Here is a 25,147-nt window from a genome sequence, read left to right on the forward strand (position 1 = left end):
CCTCCCGGGTTCACGTCATTCTCCTGCCTCAGCCTCCCGAGTAGCTGGGACTACAGGCGCCACCACCACACCCAGCTAATTTTTTGTATTTTAGTGGAGACGAAGTTTCACCATTTTCGCCAGGATGGTCTCAATCTCCTGACCTTGTGGTCCGCCCGCCTCGGCCTCCCAAAGTGCTGGGATTACAGGCGTGAGCCACCATGCCCAGCCCTGTCATTTAGATTCTTAAGGGACAATCTAATATGCCTCTATTCAAGGAGATGAAAGGGCTAAAATAACTTGTAGAGGTAGTGGATATATTTCTTGATGTGACAGTTACCCATTATATCAGTGCAAAATATTTCTCATACTTTCCAAGTTTAACATGCATAGATAAGCACAGTTTGGTTGTTACTTCCTTCACCTTACTTAGTTTGCATTCTTCTTTTGAATTAATGGACTCTCTTATGGGGCTTAATTTTACTCTCTCTACACTGTAACCTCACCCTCTACATTGGAGCTTCAGTCATTGAAGTATGAAATCTTCATTTGAGCTTTGTAGTTCACCTCAAAGAGCAAATCTAAATGGGTTGTGTCTAACGGTTCCAGAGAGAGCCAGAGAATCCCGCATATTCATGATGTAAGGGATAAAGATAACTGTTTAGCTGTGCCCCCAGATAGGCATATTGTTCGCGTATGGAAGCAACTGGCTTTAGCATGCAGATGATGGCTGCTAAGGAATGTCTCACATCAACTGTCATATCCCAGCAGTACAAATTTATAAGATGAAACAACTCTCTAATCCCTTAAACTGTTAATACATAGCTAAGAATCCTTGTGCATAAATAATAAAATTTACATTTACTAAGCTTCAATTTCTTTGAAAGTCTGTTTTATTTGATTTTTCAGAAAGCAATAAGGAAAAAAAGTGCAATGAACACTGAGAGGATGTGTTTGGAAGGGAAGAGGAATGTAATAGGAGTTCAATGTATAAATGAAGTGCATCTCGGGAAAGCTCACTTGTCTGCCTGTATTAATTATTTCTGCAGTGGGAGTGTAGCAAATGATGTCTCTGAACATGAAATTAATGCTTGTGTGTTTTAAGGGATTTTTTTCTTGTTTAATATTTTCCTATGTATGTGAATTTTGGCCATAATCCTAAAACTAAGTCTAGAAACAAATGAATACCCAAAAATGGCAGGAATGGTTGATGACTATAAATTAGTTACTTTGAATATATTATAACAAGAGTAGTTTTAAGTCCTTTGGCTAAGGAAAAAAGGTATATTAGGTGACTTAAGTCATAAAAAAATAAAGCTTTTGTTTTGAGTTCTCATGCCAGAATGGTTTCTAAGCTTTAAATACATCTAAGTAGAAAGTAGAATAAGTGTGCCTGCTACTTGATTTTTATTCACTAGAGATATCTTTTGTCCTTTTTCAGTTCCCACTTAATACTTGTCGACTGCTAAGATAAAAACAACGTGTGTTTTTTTCTTTCTTTTTTTTATTGAGACAGGATCTCACTCTGCCACCCAGGCTGGAGTACAGTGGCACGATCACAGCTTACCGCAACCCCAAACTCCGCAACCCCAAACTCCTAGGCTCAAGTGACCCTCACACTACAGCCTCCAGAGTAGCTGGGACTACAGTCACTCGCTATCCACTAATTTTTAGGTTTTTTTTTTTTTTTTTAGAGATGGGGTCTTGCTATGTTGTCCAGGCTTGTCCTAAACTCCTGGGCTCAAAGAATCACCTTCAGCTCCCAAACTGCTGAGATTAAAGGTGTGAAAATTCAAATTTCAAGAAGCAAATCCAGTCTTACCTACTATCTCATTTCATGCCTCTCTGAAAAGGAAACTTTTTTTTCCTCACTGGTCTAAAAAGTTGTATCTAATGTTATCTGATATGCTTCTCTTTAAACAGCTGTGAAAATGTAGTCAAAAGTGATTCTTTTCTTCCAGATGAAATGTATTTGTTTTGTGACTCACATCTATCAATTCTACTAGTTTTGTTTTTGCCATTGTTCATCTGTTTCAGTTTTCCAATTTGTAGTCTCACAGAATTTCCTCCATAAATAAAAGACAGGGCAATGTATAGTTTAAGAGTTTTTGAAATATAGTCAATTATGTATCTAACAAACATAATGTAAGTTGTTGAGTAGAAGTCTATATTCTAGAAGTTGTACGTTGGTACTCATCATTCCAAATATGTTGAAGGTATACTAAGCATAATATAGCGTCACTTTTGTAGAACTGGTGTTGTTGCAATCTTGGCAATTGCACTGACTGTGCCATCTCTCATCCAGGTTCCCTTGAAACCAACATCACACATTTGGAAAAGGGCTGAAACTGAGAAAAAGTAACTAGATTCTCAAAACTAGCATATCTGGTTGTGCTCAATGACACAAATGGTTCAAAAAAACACTTGGATGTAAGGAGGGTGAGAGTAAATCCACCCAAAATCCACACTGTTCTTCTTCAAAGCAACCAAAATATAGTAACAATTTTCTTTATTGTGTACAACTAATTTTTTTTCCAACTGCATTAGTCAGGGTTCTCTAGAGGGACAGAACTAATAGATGTCTACATTAAGAGGAGTTTATTAAGGAGTGTTGATTCACATAATCACAAGATGGGGTCCCACAATAGGCCCTCTGCAAGCTGAGGAGCAAAGAAGCCAGTCCAAGTTCCAAAGCTGAAGAACTTGGAGTCCAATATCTGAGGACAGGAAGCATCCTGCATGCAGAAAGATGCAGGCCAAAAGACTAAACCCGTCTAGTCTTTCCATGTTCTTCTGCCTGCTTTTATTCTGGCCATGCTGGCAGTTGATTCGATGATGCCCATCTAGATTGAGGGTGAATCTGCCTTTCCCATCCACTGACTCAAATGTTAAACCCCTTTGACAGCATCCTCACAGACACGCCCAGAAACAATACGTTGCACCCTTCAATCCAATCAAATTGACACTCAATATTAACCATCACACCAGTCTTTAGTAAATTTTGAATAAGTACATCTTTAGAGAATAAATGTATTATCAGCAAACTTGCTTAGTAATATAATCTAAGTGAAAACAGCCCATTTGCTGTCTATGCAAGTACATCATCAACACCCCTTTCCAAACAACTTACCATACTTTTCTGAGAATTCTGGAGGTTGCCAATGCCATGATGACATGCTTGCTGTGCCTCCATTCTGTGTTTCCTCACCTTTCTCCATCTCTTTTGACATAGAATCAGGTGGCACCCGTTCCCTGAGTAGTTGTTTTTTGCTGCTGCCTCCCCGCTTGGCTGACTTTGGTTTGCATTCTTCTTCTAGTACAGCAGCTCCTCAAATAATGTCATTTTGTTATAATGTTGATGAGAGAAAACATTGATTACTGGCTAGGGCCATAGTCTGTGTAGAGTTTGCATGTTCTCTCTATGTCGGCTGGGTTTCCTTCCACATCACAAAGATGTGCATGTTAGGTATCTACGTCGTTCATGTCTGCATGAGTGTGGGTGTGTGTGAGCGTGCCCTGCAGTGGGGTGGTGTCCTGTCCAGGGTTGGTTCCTGCCCTGAGCTTGTGCCCTGAGATGGCTCTGGCCACTCAGGAACTTGAACTGGAATAAGCAAGTAAATAATTGTGCCACTTGTATTTGCTAATCTCTCTTAAATGTATGTATAGCTCACATTTATTTCAATGTTTAATATTAGACATGTTTTGGTCTTTATTTAGAAGTTTGTGAAATTTATGTGACCAGAAATATGCTGCAGGAACTTAACTCCTATTTATATCAATTACCGTATGGTAAAAATTGGTTTCAGTATACATTGTTTCATTTAAGGTAGAAGTTTCTAAGAACCTATGGATGATGTTAGGTGAAAACTTACTGTATCATGCAGAGATTTTAAGCTAAGCCACCTGAGTGGTGAATGGAGAAATTGACAAAGATTAAAAAATTTGAAGTGCTTGTTAAAAATGACTCCAGGTGTGTAAGATCAATATCTTTTAAAAAATAAATGTTTTTTTAAAAACACAGATAATCTGAAGATAGAATATCTGCAGCTAAATCTACCTCTCTATTATGTATTTCTTAAACCGTGGTTATCCTAAAACTGAATCCTAAAATTAAATTCAGTAACTTTGTACAAGAGGTGCAAAGAAGGGGAAAATGGGACAAATCTGGAACACATTTCTCTTCGATGTCTAAATTCACATCCTGAATTTAAAGTCAGAAAGTAACCATCCAGAGTGCATGTGTGCTGGGCTGAATGTGCGAGAATTTAGCTGTATCTTTCAGCAAAGAGTTAATGGTATCCATTATGACTTTAATATCTAAACCTCTTTTATTTCCAGAATTATTGGAAAATAAGGTAAAATAATAAATATAATTGAGAAAAAGGCAGGCTATAGTACATTTTATGATATTTAAAGGAAATATTAAATCTAATTTTAATTTTATTCAGTGGAAAAATGCTAATATTAAAATGAATATCTTTCAGAATCCAAGTTACAGAACAGTAGTTTATGTAACAATGCTCAGTTTAGGTTAGAAACAATCTTGCTATATTTTGGGAAAAAAATCTTGTCATCTTTTGTTGGCGTTAAAATGCGGGAGCCTCTGGTAAAGATTCCCTTGCTTGGACAATAATGAAAAGGTTCCCATTCTCTAGTGTACGGGTAGAAAAAAAAAAGTAAGTATTTTGCAGCCCAAGGGCATAGGGCATGGCACAATAAGCACACAGCATTTGAGATGGATCAAAGAGGGTATTATTCAAGTTCTGAATCTGGGAAAAAAAGAAAAAGAAAAGCAGAAAATATGCCTTCATTGTAAACATAAGATCGTAAGCCTGGATCCCTATGAAATCAGGACTGGTTTGGAAAGGCATATTTTAAAAAGAAAATGGAAAAAATCCTTTTGCATAGAGTTAGAGCATGGTCAGGGTGTCAGATGTCTCTTCTTAATGGCAACTGGCTATAGGGCATTGGAAAAACCACAATTATTGTTAAACCTGGCTTCTTGGTCGGTTGATTAGCAATCCCACCTCCCTAGAATGAAGAGGAGGAGTAGATAAGTAACTTTAAGTACTGGCGGATGTGTACAGATGATGAGAAATAGCTGTTAGCCAACCAGCCAGCCAGGAAAGAAAGAATGTTCACTCTCTCTGCAGTAACAAGCAGGTTTGGATTAAAATAATAAGGCATTACTTCAGCAAATACCAACATATCATTATCTGGAAATAGTTTAGCAAACTACTGAATAAAAGTCTGTTTCTTCATGTATTAATTCATTCATTTATTTGACACATCCTAATAGTGAGTTGATGTGAGACTCTGATATTGTACCGCCTTTCTCTGCCCTAGGAGTTGAAATCATTCAGCAGGCTTAGCAAAGAAACGTAAAGTGGGACTGTGAGTTATAAACATGAATTGTCACTAGCTTGCAGGGAAACATTGGAGAAGTCACTTAACTTCAGTAGAATCCTATAATGTCCTCATCTGTAAATGAGGCTACCCATAAGTTTTCACTGAGCACTTGGCAAATAGACCTTGGGAAGGAAATGATAGATTTCGTTCCTTTGTCACAGCTGAGCTGTCACACACCCTTGCTTGCTTCTGTGCATTAGCCTGTTTAAGTACATCAAGGAAGGGTCTCAAGCCTTACCTGTTAATGCATTTATCTGGCATTAGGGGCTACCTGAGTGTAATGAATGGTGTCTAAAGAAGGTTGCCTCATTGTGAGGTAAGTTAGAGCACAATTCTTACCAAATGTCATAGTAGTAAAGTCATTAAATTTGTAAAACAATAGAAAATCATCAAAGAAAGGAAAAGTAGAAGCTGGAAATGATAAATCAAGAAAAGATTCATACTGTCACATTAAGAATATCTTATCAATATGCGATCTAGATCATTTAAATCATTTTAATTTACATAGTATACTAACTAGAAATAAATCACAAGGGTAGATTTCTCATTTAACGAATTTCAAAAACATAAGTAATATGTACTAAAAAGTCATCCAATAAGTCCTCTACATTGGGATGTCTAATTTTTTGTGAGGAAAACATAACCAACACATTAGAATGATCCATCTCCTCATATATTATGCTAAATTGCTGGAGGATCCATTGCTGTCACGATAACAATACAATGAAAAATGTGTTAATCAAATATCTAGTTAAATAGATTGTGGAAAATACATTTTTTATTCTGCTTGCTGAAAGGACAAAGAAAAATGCATTATAGCATTGCGCCTTTCAGATGAGTATTACTTGATTAGCCTACAGGGAAAGATGTCACAACATGTTTACAGGATTATTGTAATTCTAATTAAACCCATACTTTCAAAGTAAGAATTGCAATGGGAATATATAGCTTGAAATTACTAAGAAGAGAATTTTTAAATGTGTCAATACCAGGTACTGCTTTTAATAGTATTTATTATATCAAAATTTAAAAGAAAGATGATTTATAAAACAGGCTGTTTTGAGCTCTAAGAATCATAGCAATAAAAACAAATATTTTCTTATTTATTTATCTCCCCACCCCCGCACATGAAATCAGGCAAGCAAGTACTTGAGAGCCATAGCTGGTAGCTGCAGAAGATCCCCTGATATTTGTGAATGTATTGTGAGTCAAGGTCAAAAGAGTCACTTTTATTTTGGGGTAAAATGTGGAGAGGAAATGAGTGGAAAATGAATGAAAGCAAAATGTCTATTGGAAAGATCTCATCCACATTCTCATCATTCACAAAAAGAAAAAGACACGAAGGAGAAAGAAGATGAGAAAGGTAAGCTCTCCTAGAGTTTTAAAAGTCTTTGTTGAAAACACCAACCAAATAAGCAAATAGTGACCTGGGAACATGGCCTGGTTGAATTCACTACACCAAGAAATGGTTTCCCAAGCACTTTCTTCCATGGAATGTAGGGAAATAGTCTACGCCAGGCATGTCCTAAATGCTTTATGTGGATTAATCTGCACAACAATTCTATGACGTAGATACAATTATTATCCCCACTTTATAGATGAGGAATTAAGGCAGAGAATGCTTATGTAATTTAATCAAGAACAACCAGCTAATAAGTAGCAGAGCTGGGATTTGCACTGGGTGCCCACAGCCTCAGCTTCTAACTACTATGCCTCACTGATAACCCCAACAAGCGTTACTGACTGAGAGTCAACTCATCACTGGTTGCCTACAATTGATGCATTTGTGTGCAACATTGGCCTTGCAAAATCATTTTTAAATGAGTCATTAATTTAAAAGATAATGTAATGGAAAGAATACTGTATTCATTTGCTAACATCACAATTATGCTAATCACAAAATACCACAGATTGGATGGCTTAAACAACAGAAATTTATTTTCTCACAGTTCAGCAAGCTAGCGAGCAAAAAATCAAGGTTGAATTTCTTTGCGGCTTTTCTCCTTGGCTTGCAGATAGCTGCCTTCTCACTGTGTCCTCACATGGTCTTCCTTCTGTGCTCCTGCATCCCTGGTTTCACTTTTGTGGGTCTGAATTTCCTCTTCTTAAAAGGACATCAGGCTGGCACAGTGGCTTATGCCTGTAATCCCAGCACTTTGGGAAGCCGAGGCAGGCAGATCACTTGAGGTCAGGAGTTCCAGACCAGCCTGGCCAACATGGTGAAACCCCGTCTCTACTAAAACAACAAAAATTAGCCAGGTGTGGTGGCGTGTACCTGTAATCCCAGCTACTCAGGAGGCTGAGGCAGGAGAATCGCTTGAACCTGGGAGGCAGGGGTTGCAGTGAGCCGAGATCGCGCCACTGCACTCCAGCCTGGGCAACAAAGTGAGACTTCGTCTCAAAGAGAAAAAAAAAAAAAGGACATCAGTCAGATTGAATTAAGGACCACTCTAATGGCCTCATTTTTGATTAATCACCTCTTCAAAGGCTCTATCTCCAAACACAGTCACACTTAAAAGTGCTAGAGGTTAGGGCTTCAACAAAAGAAATTGCAAGGCACACACTTCATCCTATAACATAGAAGCCCCCAACCCCAGAGCACCAGACTGATACCAGTAAGTGGCCTGTTAGAACCTGGCCACGCAGCAGGAGGTGAGCAGCAGGAGGTGCGCAGCAGGCCCACAAGCATTACCTCCAGAGCTCTGCCTCCTGCCAGATCAGTGGCGGCATTGGATTCTCATAGGAGTGTGAACCCTATTGTGAATTGCGCATGCAAGGGATCTAGGTTGCACACTCCTTATGACAATATAATGCCTGATGATCTGATGATCTGAGGTGGAACAGTTTCATCCTGAAACCATCTGCTCCCAACCCACTGTGGAAAAACTGTCTTCCATGAAATCTGTCCCTAGCGCCAAAATGTCGGGGACCGCTGCTATTACAAATACTAATATCGGTGTTGTTATTGGAGTTCTTACTTGGGTTTTGCTGCCGTATGACTTAGACTAAGTCATTTCCTCTCTTTTGAAGGGTACCTGCTGCCTAAACACTGATGCTGTCTGGCTCTTGACTGAGTTTACATCTTCAGCTTCCCTAATTCTGTGAATTATGCTATCATCTTCGTATGTACATACACATAGATAAGGCTTTTTTGCCTAAGGTAGCTAGAGATTTTGTTGCATAAAACTCACAACTTCTAATTAGAACGCTGACTTTTGCTTATAGCTTTGCTGGGGTTTTGATATACTCTGGTCTATCCAGTCTGTAAAATGGAGTAAATAATGCCTATGTCATAGGAATGCCGGAAGAACTGAATGACATATTGTACGTAAATGGCTGAGTGCAATGTCTGAAAAGCAGGAGGTACTTTGCAAATGTTCATTTTCTGTTTCTTACTCACCAGCTCTACCAGCTTTCATGCTTACTCTTTCATTACCTTTGAACTTCCCCTCTATGTCAGCATTTGTCTCACATACTCTTGGCCAAGCATCATAAAAGCTACTTTTCATCTTCTATATGATAGAGATTTTCAAAACCTCCAATGCGAGTGCAGACACTTCCTCACGAGCTCAAAAACAGGGAGATTCATGATTCAACTTGGCTTTCAAAAATGTTCAAGTTTTAGAATTTAACAGAATTGTTTATTGTAGCCAATGTTTTCCTAGAACACTGACTTTGGCTTAGAAAACTTCTTCAGAACTGAGCAGAGGAGGCAAGGCCCTGGGGCTGCTCTGGACCACACAAAGTTGGACAATTAGCAGAGCATCAGCCCAGCCTGCTAGCCTGACTGCTGACAACCAACAGCAACTGTGAGGATTATGTTTTTGTGTTGATGATTTGTGTTGATTCAGGTTACATTTGAGACTTAATTATCTACTTAATCATTTGGACATATTTCATAAAATAATAGTCACATGATACTATTTCATCATAAAAATAATGATTATACATAATATTATGTATTTATTTCCATCACTTATCCTCATTCTCTCCTACTAAACGTTAGAAATATTGCATAAATTCCAAAGGAGTAATGACATTGAGACAAGAAAAATTGATGAGTGTTATTTTCAGATATAGAGGAGGCAATGTAGGTTGAATCTCTTTGGTTTAAAAGCAAGTGATAAGAATCTGTTGTTTATGTCATGTGCTGGTGAATAATATTGACATCTGCCTGTCATCTTTAGCTGTAAACTACCTTTAGATGAAGTTGCAGTTAGTGATAATTAGACAATGTCATGGGTTCCCCAAGCCCCCCAAATTAAAGGGCATTTATTCAAGAGAAGCTCACGGAACCATAGCTGAGGCAGAGTTTTTCAAGAAAGATGGTTTCCAGCATCACTCAGGAGTAGCATCATCATGAGCTGTGAGTCCCCAGTCCTGACTCCCAGCAATGGTCCAAATTCACTTGATTCCAGAAACCCAGATTCAAAGACACACAGGGTGCAAGTCTTTGGAAGCAACACTTAGGCAGAATTTTGAGCAAAAGTCTAGATAAGTCTCTTATCAAAGTTGGAATGGATTCCTACAGGTGGCTTGTCAAAAGCCACAGTAGGACCCAACCATAGCTCCCAGGACATTAGAGGTGACTTCAGAGTGGTGCTCCTAATGTGTTGTTTATAGATCATAGGAACTGTAACAAAGGCAAGAGACTCAGGTTGCTTCTAGGCAGGGTGACAATAGGTGATTTAATATCTTCCGATGTCCCGTAAAGCAATAGTATTGATATCAGCCAGGGTGAGGGGAAGGAGGACAAAGTGGGTAGAATAGAGTGATGGCAGGCCAACAATGGGGAAAACTGTGGCGGTGAATTCAAGGAGAGTGAGCCCTGATGATTTCCAGGGGAGTTTTGGGACTGAGCAAGCAGCAAGGAATAGATAAGATGCCTTCACAAGAGTGTGAAATAAATGGGGGGCCTTAGGGTGTACATGGTTATTTTAACATCTCCAGCCCAACTTTGGAACCAGTCAGGAGGACTATACAGCAGTGTTCACAACGTTCACAACAGCAGCAGTGGCACAGGGAGAAGCCCTGTGTGTCTGCAACCTAAGAGGCAACCAGCAGGAGAAAGTCTTTAGCAAGAGACAAACCCTGGAGATGTTGAGGTTCACCAGGAGCTTCAAATTTGAGCTGACCTGGACTTAGGAAGGAGGCTAGATGGAAACTTAGGTACTTACATTTTCTGAGAATGGAACCCTTTCAAAGACTTCAAAGACCTGCATTTCTTTCTTTCTTTCTTTATAAAGTTCTAGAAATAAAAAAAAAAATGAAAAAAAAAATACTTGGGGGAAAACACCTTCTTATATCCCACCAAGTGCCTGGGACAGGAGGGGTTGTGTGTATATATGGCGGGGGAGCCAACTGAGTGTGGAGGCTGATTTTTTACATTAAATTTCACTATTTCAGTATAGTTTTTCCCACATGCAAGATTTTTAATTTGAAATAATAACAGACTGCTCTTCCGGGCACATACACTGTTTTATATAACTCAGTGAAAGGTGAGCTTTTGAAATGCTAGAGGAGAGCCATTAAGTAATAGAAGATATTTGGTTATTATAGAAACTATATTATGCATTAGCAAGTTTTCAAAAAGCTTTTTATATTATACCATAAGACTAATCTAGGAAAGTCTAAGCTTTTGTCCTCATAAAAGCAGTGCTGCCAAAATTCATATAATACATGATTTGTGATCCAGCAGATTTACATAGAATCTAAAATAACAGGGTTTCTTGAAATACTATTGAGTCTCTGTATAGTATTATGGAGATATGCATATTAATTGTAAAAAATTTAATTCAGATGAATAGAACTGACTTAATTTGCATTTTCTTATAGTATTAAGTGGCATAAAATCATAGGGTTCCTTTTTGTTTAAAAAATTGCAGTTTATTTTTTAAAGTGTTTGGAAGCATGAAGATACTATCATGTACTTGATCCAGTCTTAAATTTTCAACTTTGTTCAAATGAATCCTGCCTAAATAACCATCTGATGACATTTTTATCCAGTTATAGGAAGCCCTCACATGAATGCATTTGAATGCTTTTGTGACTGTGTGAAATGAATCACTGATGATTCATGAAAGAGACAGTCCTATCATTAGCCTTGATAAGATGGTAATTTGATTATCTGATAGTCCTGTTGCTCATTCCATTTTTTAAACATGAATATTTAAAATATTGGAAGGGCAAAATAATTCCAAAGAAAGAATTGGTGGTCAATAATTCAAAGTAATATATTACTCACAATTCCTGTTAACTCTAGCTCCAGAATATCAAATTAGGCTTTTTTTAAAATTGTTAACATAGAAAAGTAACAAAAATATTTTTGAATAAAAATATTTAAGTTAGATTTGTGTCAATTTTATCTTCAACTATCAGCTCAGGTACATGAATTCAGAATGTTTATTTTTTGAAAATTTTAAATTATTGGGTAAAAGTGGTTTCAATCTATGTTTCCAGAAATAACGTAGCATGTTTAGAATCATCCATAATAGGTATAATGTTGCTATTTTTTAAAAATTCAAAATTATAGTGATGAAGTTCTTTAGCTTATCAGTAGCCTTTTTTGTCTGCTATCATCTTTTAACAGGTATTTGGCTGGTTTTTACTCTGAGTATGTAGGAAAATAATAGAATAAATTATGATTGATTCAGATCATTTCTGTATTTCAGCTTTTGGATATGGCAAACATATTGGTTTCTTTTCTTTAGACTTGAAAGTAGACGATAACTCACAGTTTTAGCGCTCACAGTCACTCCCTGCCTGTCAAGCACTGGGGTGATATCTGTGATGTACTGCATTACGTCCCTCCAGTGTTTTTGCCTTTATTTTGAAGTTTTTGGCACTTCTATTCCAAAGACTCCAACTACACAGACACTCTGCTTGAATTGACACAAAGCCTGAAGCACTAGTTTATCTCACACTGGATTTGTCAAACAAAGGTGATTCACTTTAAATAAAAGTAATATATATGTATCTATACATATGTGCATGTATACATATGTGTATATATGTATACATGTGTATATGTATCTATAAGCATGTATATGTACATATTTACATATACAGACGTGCATATGTATATTTATATGTATGTTTATATGTACATATACATATAGGTATATATGTATGTGTGTATATGTATCTATATGGACATGTATATATGTGTGTGTGTATGTATATGTACATGCATATATACCTGCATATGTTTGTATGTGTGTGTAAATATATATACACATACATACATAAATACATATATAAACATATACGTGTATATATAAGTGTACCTACACTCTCTCACACACACACACACACACACACACATATCCCCAAACTGAGAGAACAAATTAGTACTATGAAACGAGGAGCAGTTTCTCATCAAATAGTTATTGTTCACAAAATGTCTATACCATCATTTCTACTTTCCCTAACAGACCTTTAAAAAGTACACACTTCAATTTTAAGGGGGAAACAAGGCTCAAGAAGAATCATGCAGAGGTTGGTAGAGGGAGAGAATGAATAGTGAAGACATGATTCATCTCACACGAATACATGATGCTCTTCCGCTGACACTCCAACAGAAACCATAGGGCTAAAAGGTAACTTTTTGTCCACTACCACACCACATAAATTGGACGAAAGGGAAAATTTCCCCACACATTTAAAAGCTTCTAGTAGGTCAATTCATAAGAAAAATAATACCACCTAACACATATATAGTGAAGAGCTAATCTAACTTTGAATAAGTCTGTGTCGACTGGATACTATAAAGCTAAAGACTAAAATAACTATGCATAAATACTGTACTCTAGAAAGAAAATCTATTTTTACGGGGTTATGATTCAGCAAGTCTGCAGCTACTTTAGGTTTAGCATTTTTTAACTGCGTTGTACTTTCCGTACTAGACTTGAACAAATAAGTGACTATATACGATACGATGAGAGCCATATTCTTTGCTCAGAGATGTCACATACAAAAGGAAAAGGAGACAGCTAGGATGAACTTTGTGGTGCTGGATTAGAATCAGAGCTATCAGTTTAATTTTTAATATGTAAACAGATAGACATCAAAATAAACATCAGGGCCGGGCGCGGTGGCTCACGCCTGTAATCCCAACACTTTGGGAAGCCTAGGGGAGCGGATTGCCTGAGGTCAGGAGTTTGAGACCAGTCTGACCCACACGGTGAAACCTCGTCTCTACTAAAAATACAAAAATTAGTCAGGCGTGGTGGCAGATGCCTGTAATCCCAGCTACTCGGGAGGCTAAGGCCACAGAATCACTTGAATCTGGGAGGTGGAGGTTGCAGTGAGCCAAGATGGGGCCTTGACACTCCATCCAGCCTGGGCAACGAGTGAAGCTCCGTCTCAAAAATAATAAATAAATAAATAAATAAATAAATAAATAAATATCAATGCGTGTTTGCGTGTGAGTGTGTGTGTGTGTGTGTGTGTGTGTGTGTGTGGCCGGGGGATGTGTTGGCTGAGAGAACACAAAAGCAACTCAACCCAGTAGCAGTGAACATATCCAATACCCAGATCTTGGTGTCTACACATTATTCTTTAATAAAAGGAACCAGGGTTTCTTGGAGAAGTGGTTAATTCTGGAGTTGGAGCAGGCAAATACAGTAAGCCTGCAACATAATGGTGGAAAATAAGGACGTTCTCAAAAAAAAGAATCAAGATAAGTAAAAAGGACAGAAGAGCCAACCTGAGGGAGTGCACAGTGGCCAAAGCCAAGATCATTTGAGCGGCAAAATGAATACTACTGCTGGATTATGCCCATAGAATAAAATACCCATGAGTCTAACATAAATTAAAAGCTGAATAAATATGTAAATGCAGAATAATTAACTCTTCCTTATAAAAATATTCTAATCAATACATATAGAAGAACTGACGAAAATTCAAAATCACCATTGGACATAAGCCACAGTAACTATTGCAGGCAAAATATACTAATCAATGATAAAATCAGTAGCCCACAGTCTGAAGAGAAACAGGATACAGGCATAGTTTTGACATACCACCCCAAGATAAATATCCACTACAAACTGAATAACATTAGCATTACAGGGATGAAATCTAGCCTGTATCACCCTAGCCATGCAATCAAGGTTAAGATCTCCAATTAACCTTGAAATAGCAATATCAGGTACTCTTTGATATGATGCATACAGAACACAATATCACCTCTGTGATATTGTTATCAACAATACACAAACTCAATATAATCATCAGAAAATATCATGTAAATCCAACTTAAGATAAACCCAGATTAAGAGTTCATCCTTGGAATAACTGACCACCTTTTTTCAAAAGTACATAGATCATGAAGGACAAGGAAGGACTGAGGAATTGTGTCAAGTTGGAGGGAGACTGCAGAGGCACAAGAACAGAAGCAATATATGATCCTGAATTCATTCCTGGAATAGAAAAGAGATGTTTGAGAAAAACAAAAAACAAAAAAAACCCACAAAGCTGGTGAACTTCTAATAAGGCCTGTAGCTTACACAAAAGTGATATGGTAATTTTAACTTCTTGGTCTGGATAATTATAGTATGGTATGTAGGTTTTTATTTATTTATTTAATAGAGACAGAGTCCTCTCTATCACCTAGGCTGAGTTCAGTGGCGTGATTATAGCTCACTGCAGCTTTAAACTCCCGGACTTAGGCCATCCTCCCACCTCAGCCTCCCGAGCAGCCAGGACTGTAGGCATGTACCACCATGCCTGGCTAATTTTTTATTTTATTTTATTTTGTAGAGATGGTCTCGAACTCTTGGGCTCAAGTTATCCTCCTGCCTCAGCCTCCCAAAGTGTTGGGAATACAGGCATGAGCCACTGCACTAGCCTGGTTAGTTAAGTTTTTAAAAGCTGACGTAGGGTTAGGTGAACTCCATGTACTATTTTTGCAATTTTTCTATAAGTTTAAAATTATTTCCAAACTAAACATTAAAACAAATTGTTTTAGTCCTATGACAACACCATGAAATACATAGCATCACTCTCTTTTACCAGAGGAGAAAACTGAAGAATAGAGAGGTTAATAAACTTGCCCAAGAGCACCAAGTTAGAACATTCCAGAGCCGACAGTCTGGCTTCAGAGCTCAAGACCTTGACCGCTGTGATTTGATGTGGTCTGAAGCTCAGCTAATTCAGAAATATTTACACTTGCTTTTTTTTTTTTTTTTTTTTTTTTTTTTTGAGACGGAGACTCGCTCTGTCGCCCAGGCTGGAGTGTAATGGCGTGATCTCAATTCACTGCAAATTCTGCCTCCCGGGTTCAAGCCATTCTCCTGCCTCAGCCTCCTGAGTACCTGGGATTACAGGCATGCGCCACCACGCCCTGCCAATTTTGTATTTTTAGTAGACACGGGGTTTCTGCATGTTGGTCAGCCTGGTCTCAAACTCCTGACCTCAGGTGATCTGCCCGCCTCGGCCTCCCAAAGTGCTGGGGTTACAGGTGTGAGCCACCGCGCCCAGCCTACACCTGCTCTTAATTGTGTTTTGACATGCTGGGTACTACAACATTACATAAAACATAACCATGGAAAAAGAAGTGAGTACTTTACAATCTTCAATGATATGTGATACAAGAAAACTTCATTCTTCTGCAGCAATTGTCCACCAAATACGTAAAACCATGAAATATTAAGTGAGCTCTTACAAAATAACTGAAAGTATTTGCATTCAAAAATGAAAATGCGTCCATAAGACTTTTATGCTTCATTACTAAAAAAATCATTAATAATAAAATAAATAATGACAGACAGTTACTAATGCAATAAAGTTGCTAAAATGAGATGGAAAATTACTAATAATGTATTTTATTACATGCAAAGAAGGCTTCAGGTGGCTGTGGTCTGGCTCTGAATTTGTTATAGATAATTAGTAGCTTAGGTCTTTCTGTATTAAAAGAGGTCCTTTTTATCATCGAAAATTGTTTTTAAAACTGGTAATTCTTTTCAGGAATGCAAGAAACTTAAAGCCTTCCCTCATATATAATCAGCAATCAGAAATAACTTAGTAAAAAAATGTAATTGTTGTCTTCTGTTCAATGTATGTAATTATAAGGTTAAGTAGGTTGTGTATAGCAATTCAGCCAAAAGAAGCAATCTCTTAATAAATTAAAAACTAGATAAATGTGAATTATGTGAGTATACATTATGATAGTTACAAAATATGATTGAGATTTAAGTTAAATGAGAGAAGAATATCTCTGAGATTACAGTTTTTTAAACTAGAAAGAAATATCGTTTTTGATGAAGATACGACATCCAAACAAGTAAAATTAGTGCTGATTAGAGAGCATGTATTTAATAAGTATATACTGTCCTGCAATAAATGCAAACCTAAGACTGTTGAAAATGTTAAAATATAAAAGCTTCATCTTACTTAATGTACATTGAAGTCTAACCAGGAAAAAGGAGGATGTGCAAAAGTATGTTTGTGTTATTATTTTGTGCTTTGTTTTAGCTTAATACATAATTTATGTCTACCCCTGTTTCTGCTCTTAAAATACACTATAGGAAAATGCTATCTGGACATTCTTTAAGCCTTTCTGAAAAGTACTTGTAACAGAAGCCTTTCCATTTAATGGTTTAAAAAAAAAGTAAATAGAATTTATGGCTGTCCTGGGCCCAATTAAATTTCCATTCAAACTTGTCCTGACTGGAAAATAAATTGCCTATGGATTCTGAATAAGGGGTTTGCACACTTGGAGAAAAAAAAAAGAGTATATCTGTGGAGAACTATGATTTATGAAAGTATTGATTTCTATGTTAAATAATGAATTAGATGTCCTACCACAATATTATTTATCAAACTTTTTTGTCATATAATTAAATTGTCACATAATGGATTGTACCCATATAGAGTCATTAAATATTAAAAACTACATGTGACACTACTCACCTTATCTTTGGCTAACAACACATTTCCTCTATTCTTTTCTATTAAGGTCAATAAGGGCAGGCACTATCTTCACTATCAATGCTTACAGCCCTTGCTTACCAAGGCTGCAGTAGCCCTGAGCACATTCCCTTAGCTTCTGCAGGAAAACCCTGCCATGACTGAAACTATCCACATTTGAAAAGCAAGTGGTGTTAAAAAAAAATTCATTCAATTCAAGACAACTCAACAAATGAGCATAAGGGGTAAAAAAGCCTATAAACAAACAAAAATATGCTTAGACATATTAAAACGAGATTTGCATTTGACCAGTCTCACCCATGTCAATCACTCCTGATTTTTCCCTGGAACCTCTGCCACAGCTCTATCTTGCGCTGGGCCCTCTGGGTTCTTTTTTTCAGTGTACCTTGCCCTCCATATATTATAACTACAGCCACTCACAAAGCATCACCAGCTACATAAATGTATTTCTGCCTTCTCCTGATCACGAATTCATATTCCCACTTGCACTGACCTTCCCGTAGGACTAACTTGAAGTCTTCACCATAATTAATACTTTTGGTGGCCACATAATCCATCTTCACTCCCTCCCACCCTACAAATGTAATAGATGCTTGTTTCTCTGCATTTGACATTCAAGAGCTGACATTGTTTTGGAAGTGAATTCCTGTATCCCATTAACCACATCCACAGCTGTATAGGGTAGTTTTGTGTGGACTGGGAGATGCTGAGGCAGTTAATAATAATAAAAGCTTACATTAATTGTATGCTTACTATATGTCAGGCATTACGCTAAACTTTTTACATGCATTATCTTAATCATTATGACAACCCTATGAAATGGGCACTCAGAATTTTCTTGTTCCATTTATGAGCAAACTGCCAATTAAAGAGGATTCGTCATATTTTAAGGGCACAATGCCAGGAAATTACAGCAAGAAATCAAAAATCAAATATGTCTGTTTTGGGAATCAATGTGTACAGGCTCTGTGCTCCATTGCTTCTCCATGAATAGGTGAAAAGAAAAACTAAGGTCCACAGGTAATTCTTATTCTGCAATCTTTGTAATGGGTTGGTAATTTATTTTAAAATCCAATAATTCTGTGGTCATGAATTATCTCTGCTGCTATTTTAAGACCTAAAATGTTTCTCTTTTATTAAAGAATGAGGGGATTTCAAAAAGCTTGTACTTCCCATAGTGCTTCTTTGTAGAATCCTATTCTAACCTATTTTATTACAGATGAATTGGAAACAGAAATAAAAATGTTTATCTCCGTAGGCTGTAGAATATATGAACTTAAGTTCTTAGGCCCAGCTGAACTTGTTCTGCCTAAAGAGCAGTACTTTTTGTTCAGAGAACTGAGAGGATATCGAAAATCAGCAAAGCATTTTGGGAAGCTAAACAAGAGCGAAACACAGTCCTTCCCTTTCAGAATTTTTCCAGTCTATATGAATGTAAGTGTTATAAGGAAAGTAATATAGTGAACTCTTAGTCTAGACAGAGAGAGAGAGAATAAGAGAGTGGGCAGGGAGGGAGAGGACTGTTATCTGAGGATTTCAGGACAGACTTCATGGAAGAAGTAGTTTTAGAGAATTTGAAAAAGATGTTGGCGACTAAAGGCATTCAAAAATTTTTGGAGTAAATGAATGGGTAAAAGAATGAGAAAATTTGACTTTATAGATAAGGAAAGAGAGAAATTCAGGAGAGAAAAGAACTTAAAGTCAGAAACAATAAAAGGCTTACAATTACTTTCAACAATTACTACAGTATGTATTTTTTATTCCTTCCTGCATTTATTCACAAGTCATGTATTGTGTACAAGGAGCTGTCCATTGTATAGAGAAGAAAAGCAAAAAAAGACACTGTGTCTTGTTTGTATTTAAGTGGTTTGATTTGAAGAGTATTCAAGGCTTGGGCATAAAAAAGGTGAGTTGGGCTTGGGTCAGAGAGTCTGAAATGCTGGGCTAAGTGTTCGAGACGTGATTCCTCAGGTAATTGAGATTCTTTCACAACTTTAGGAAGAAGAATGAGATGATCAATTTAGAGTCAATTGGTGCTAAGTTTTATATCAGGTTAAAGAGGAGTTGTAAGACTGGAGTTTTCATGGCTTTGGAGATACCCTTGTAGTCCTGGGAAAGCCTGAGTTGCTGAGCTAGGAAGAAGGAGGCTAAGTGGAAAGGATTTCTTGTCTGTGGAAGAGTGACGGGAAAGAAAGCCAACGCCGATGCAGAAAGAAGATGCCGAAAAGAAGGTTACTGAGAGTTTGCTTGTAGAAGTTTCAGATTTTCTGAGGATATGGAATAGATGGGCCATTGATTGGTACAGCTTGTGGCTGAAGCACAGTTGTGAAGTCTAACAATCCCAACAAGAATCTCAACACCTTCCACTCACAAGCTCCAGACCACAGAGCTACTTAATTTCTGTAAGCCTTGTTCTCTCATTCATGAAATGTGAATAATAAATATTATTAACCTCTTGGTAATAGTGCAAAGATTAAATATGAATATGCAATTAAAGTATTTAGCACAATTCCTAACACAGAGTAAACGCTGAAAAAATATTGAAAGTTTCCATGATATACATGTAGACACAGCAATAAGAGTTAAGTTGCTTTGCTGACGTCTTTACCTCTGCCAAGAAGTCACTCTGAAAGTTATGGATGGGCCATAATGATGGTTTGTCTAAGGCACCAAACAGGATGCAATAATCACAGCAATTATTTAAATAGAGATATTTTAATATTTAAAAAACTGTTAACTAGATAAAAAGTTGTTGACTAGGTAACTGAAAAGACATGATAGTAAGAGTACCACAGTTACTATCAGAACTAGCAATTCAGTAAGTCATCACCACCCCTATGGCTGGGGGAACAAAGGGAAGAGGCTGGCCTTATTAAGACTTAGAAGCCTGGAAATGTTAGAACTCAGACCTCAGAAAAGGGCACACGCTTGCCTAGGACTAGAGACTCTGACCTTGAAAAAGGGGAGGGCCCTATGACGCAGAGAACTCAGAGGAGGCTGCGTTGCTCGTCTTGTTCTGGTGTTTCTTAGGTCAGAGTAGGGGTCGCATGGGGTGGGACCCAGATCTCCGTGGTGGGTGAGCTACAAGTCTGGGCTAGTGTCTCTGAGGGGGGCTATGATGTAGCTAGCTCTGCAAGTGCAGGGGGGAAATGCAAACTGGATTCCACTGCTGCTACAAGAAATTTCCGTGGTTCAAATGAAGAAGTTCCCAAGAATTGTACAGACAAAGCCCTTCCTCCTCTAGCCTTTCAGTCTCCCACTAGTGCCCCCTATCGGCAGAGCCTAAGAGATAGGAGAGGACAAAGCAGAAACGGGGCGAGCCGAGCTGCAGTTCAAACGTCACAAAGCCGGATATGGAAAGTTGTGCCTGGGCTGAGAAACACTGGCTTATCATCTGGACAAAAGTAAAAGAAAGAAAAAATTGAAAATGGTTAAAATCTTTTAAAAATCCCAAAATACCTTCTCAATTAAACACAGGAGTTAGGATGAATTTTAATATAACCTTGAGGCAAAAATGGTGAAGCTGTGTATGATTGCGGACTTAATGGCTGTAATTTTTTTTATTAATGCACTGTGCACGTGGACAGGATTTTGGTAATCAAGGTTGTGGGAGGTGAAAAGAATCGCCTGTCTGGGGAGGACATGAGGCAGACTAAAAAGGGAAGAATACAGTAATTGTCAGAGGAAAAAAAAATGGGGGAAAGAAGATCTAGGTAAAAGTTACGTTGAAATATTTTTTCTGTGGGCTGTAAAGTAAATGTGGGGGAAAAACAAAAATCATAAATATTTTCAGAATGAGATTGTGGATGTGTATTTATGAATTTATTTCCTCATGACATTAGCACGAAAGACAGCCTTGGGTTACAGCAAGGCCAGCCATAAAACATACAGTTAAAATTGGGATAGAAATATTAAAACCCTATCTAATTATTTTTAAATTCTCGTATTATTTTTTAATTCTTATATTCTTTTTTTTAAAATTCTCATATTATTGTGATAGCATGTTTTTGGGATATTAGTGTACATTGTTGCTTATTTCTATAACACATAGTAATCTATTAAAATAAATGACCCATTCTACTAAAAATAGTGGAAAACAAAATAAACATGCAATTCAATTAGATGAGGAAAATCTGAAGCATTAAAAATAAATCTTTTGATGCTGTGAAAAAGATATAAATTTTCCTATGAGTCTATAAGCATATAAAAACTTTAAAAATTTGAAGTAAGATGTTAGAAAGTAGGTATATGGAATACTTAAAAGTAAATGACACATAGAAAATTATTTTAAAGTTAAGAAGCCCAAAGAAAAACAAAAACAAAATGCAATGCACGATCTTTGATTCAATCTTGGATCAAAGAACATTGAAGGCTACTACAATGATTATCTAGGGTGGCCTGAATGTGGGCTGTCTATTCAATAATAGCATTATATCAATTCTAAATATTCTGAGTATGATAACTGTATTGTGATTATATAGGAAAATGCTGCCATATTTAGAGTAAACTGACATGATGTTTTCAACATACTATCAAAACTTTCAGAGAATAAGTAAATCATAAATAAATAGATATATGAGGTCAGGTATCAATGATTGACGAAGGGTATATGAGTATCCACTGTACTATTCTTACAATTTCACTTTGGGTTTGAAATATTTCAAAATTTAAAAATTAAAGAATAAATATCTTATAATAAGACTAGTTGATGGCTTTTTAAGAAACTTAAGTGCAATAATTCTCATAATTTGTTTATAAAATTCAAATGTTATGAAATTTAAAATTTTTTATTTGTAAAATTAAAGTTTATATTCTCACTAATCTCATCTTAGTCACAAAATAAGGATGTCGGTGTACAACTATTTTATGCTGCCTCTAAGTCAAATATTTTGTCATCATATGTGAGTTTAATGATGCAGTACGTCAGGAAATGGAATCTCTTTCAGATATTGACTTGATTTCAAATCCAGTATAGTAGGAAGATGATGTGAATGATTAGTATTCTCAGAGGTGGTTTTTTTAATCAGAAAATAACTTTGGAAGCAGAAAAATGTGGCTCAATTTCTAGAAAATATTTTGGGGGTCTTTGTGTCTTAGTTTTGTTTTGTTACAACTCAACCAATTCTAGTTTTTTAAATTATTCTATTATATCATGAATTAGCCATGTTCAGAAACTGCGTTTCTTTGGGCCAGCAGAGTGCTATGTTGTCCTACAGATTAATACTTCACACACTGCTACTCCAGCGATTTCAGAATAAACTTAATTTATTTAATCACCAAGAGAATTATGCTATGGAAGAATACAGCTCCAGACATAACACAAGAGAATGTGTTGATTCAGGTGTTGTTGCTGGTTTTTTTAGAGAATCTGAGTGTCAATATTTCACATTCCTAAAACAATTAACTGGTTTATAACTCAACTTAAAACTCACTCAATCTTTTCTAAAATAAGAAGTTAAAAATTTATTAGGTTTAAAAGGAGGTGAGAATTTTATCCAGTGACCTTCACTGGTCATTCAAAAAAATTTTTATATGGAGAGATGTTTAGAAATACAAGTTTAAAATATAAGTTACTTGAGAAATACTATTGTGTTGACTAATATTGAATCAATGAACTATGCTTGAAAACTATTTTTGAAACATTTACATTAAAAGAACAGTTGGATATGAATAGGTATCAGGGTTAGAAGTCACATTTGTTCTATGGAAGAAAGAACAAAAAAGAAGAGAAAAGGCACGACTCTTATAAAACCATATTAACAAACTGTTTAAAAATCCATGAATAGTAATATTATAGCATTGATGATTAAAACTAGTTTTCAGATCATATATTGTTATTATTACCTTTTGAAGAGTTATTTAAATCGTGAATATTCCTCTGAAGGAATAAAAAGTCTTTTAGGTAGCTATCTTGTATTTAATCTAACATGCCAACAAACGTATTACCCACCATATTTCAACCTTCTCACCCATTCATCCCTTTCCAACACAACCTTATTCCCAGAGAAAGAAACATATTCAAAAAGAAGCTGAGGTAAAACAAAAACTAAAACAAAATAAACAAGCTAGGAATAAAGAGAAAAAAGGAACACAAAAAATAAAAAACTGAAACCAAAGAAAACTCACTAAAAATAAGTGTTGGCTACACGGTACACTAATACAATGACCGCCTGTTTGTACCTCACCTTGTTTAAAGGTAGAACATTGCATCACTTTGGGAGGAGACAGCGTGCCTTCGTTCTTTCCCTTCCTTTCCCTTCCCTTTTCTCAGAGCTAATTACTAGGCTATTTTCTGTGTAGCATTCTCTGGCTTTGCTTTATAGTTTTACCAAATAAGTTTCTTAATACTGAGTGCTAACCAGGGAGTTTGTTCCTTCTTTCTCTTTTTTTTTTTATTTTTTTCTTTATTTTCTGTTGTGAGGGAAAATGTTTCTATTCTTACTGAAGTGATTCTAAGCTCTGTTTGCTGATAATTAACAGGTGAAAGTTCTTGACAGTTTTGCAACGTGAAGGTACAAGCAGGTAGCAGTTATTTCCAAGTCATCACATTTTCCTCACATAAATTCTATTTTTACCACAAACATTCTAAGCATGGGGCTGAGTGTGGTGGCTTCAAACTGTGTCTAAGCAGAATTCTGGAATAGAAATAATCCCTGAAATGCAAGCATTTTTCAAGCTCTAAAGATGCTCAGATATCACGTAGGAAATAGCATAGCAGGAGTACTGAGATTATTTTGAATTTCAAGAAAATACAGGAAAGGATTAAACCTTAAGACGTTAATAGTAGCTAAAGTGTAGTAAAAACATGCACATTAACTTGATCATAAATTTAACTGTTAAAAGACCTTTGCTAAACAAAGTTAATTTGTGGTCGTCTGTATATTTCCACCATTACAAAGTCTAAATCAATTTTATTAGTCAGAAGCCTTACTTTACTTGCAAAGAGTGAAAAACCCACCTCAAATGGCTTAAGTGGGCAAGGAAGAGGAGGGGTTGAAGTTTCCCATAATTGCCAGTTGAAAAGCATGATGATTTTCAGGCATGTATGCATTCAGGCACTCAAAACCTCAGGGGTCTGTATCTGTCCATCTCTCAACTCAACTTCTCTGTCATCTTTAGGGAGAATTCTTCCTCATCGCGGCCAGGATGACTCCCAGAAGTTCCAGGGTTCTAGCTCTAAGCGTCCGAAGGTGGTGATCCACTGGTGGATCACCCACCCTTCCAACCATTGTTGTCCCTGTGAGGTATTCTAAGCTTGGCCAGGCCAGGCTCATGCCCTCCTCCTAGGATACTGCAAATCTCACAAGTGCAAGGACTCTGTCTTATATGTTTTTGTGAACTCAGAGTGTAGCATACATAAAAGTCACTTAATTTATATTTGCTGAGTGAATTATCTTAAGTTTATTATCTTAATTTATACATGCATTAAATGAGAGAGATGACTAGTAGCTCAATGTATATGTAAAGAGTGGCCCTCCAGCCCTACTGATGCACTATTATTGCTTGCATTTGACATTAAAAAAAAAAAGAATTGAAAAATTATGGGGAGAAAGTGAAAAACTACTTGAATAATTAAATGTGAAAACTAGTTACACTTTAAAAATATGCCTTTAAAAAATTATTTTATTCCTTCCATCTCCCCCTTTTAACTACTTTGCTATTCACATATGCAAGGACTTGCCTTTCTTTCTGTGTGGCTTCTAGCTACCCTTGGACCTCATAGAAGTGTATTGGTCCTTGTTCTTAGCTCTCAGCTTTTGCCCCTCTCTTGCTCACAAGTGTACCTCACTCTCTCAAACTATTGTTTGATCTCAAACAAGTACCTCCC

At 36.7% G+C, this 25,147-nt stretch overlaps 1 protein-coding gene across 29 annotated transcripts in view, besides 1 other annotated feature; it reads left to right on the plus strand.

The window, feature by feature from the left end:
* Positions 1-25,147, plus strand: part of ROBO2 (roundabout guidance receptor 2) — a 1,743,290-nt gene that overhangs the window by 720,105 nt on the left and 998,038 nt on the right. The window lies entirely within an intron of this gene.
* Positions 19,736-19,905: an enhancer, noted in NCBI's record as "experimental_71357 CRE fragment used in MPRA reporter constructs". NCBI's record gives its function as "activates a minimal promoter by MPRAs in K562 erythroleukemia cells, with activity observed for the non-introgressed 3:76695751 variant allele {active_cell/tissue: K562}" and the evidence as "EXISTENCE:reporter gene assay evidence [ECO:0000049][PMID:34662402]".

The sequence above is a fragment of the Homo sapiens genome, chromosome 3, assembly GCF_000001405.40.
Source record: "Homo sapiens chromosome 3, GRCh38.p14 Primary Assembly".
NCBI classification, from domain to species: domain Eukaryota; kingdom Metazoa; phylum Chordata; class Mammalia; order Primates; family Hominidae; genus Homo; species Homo sapiens.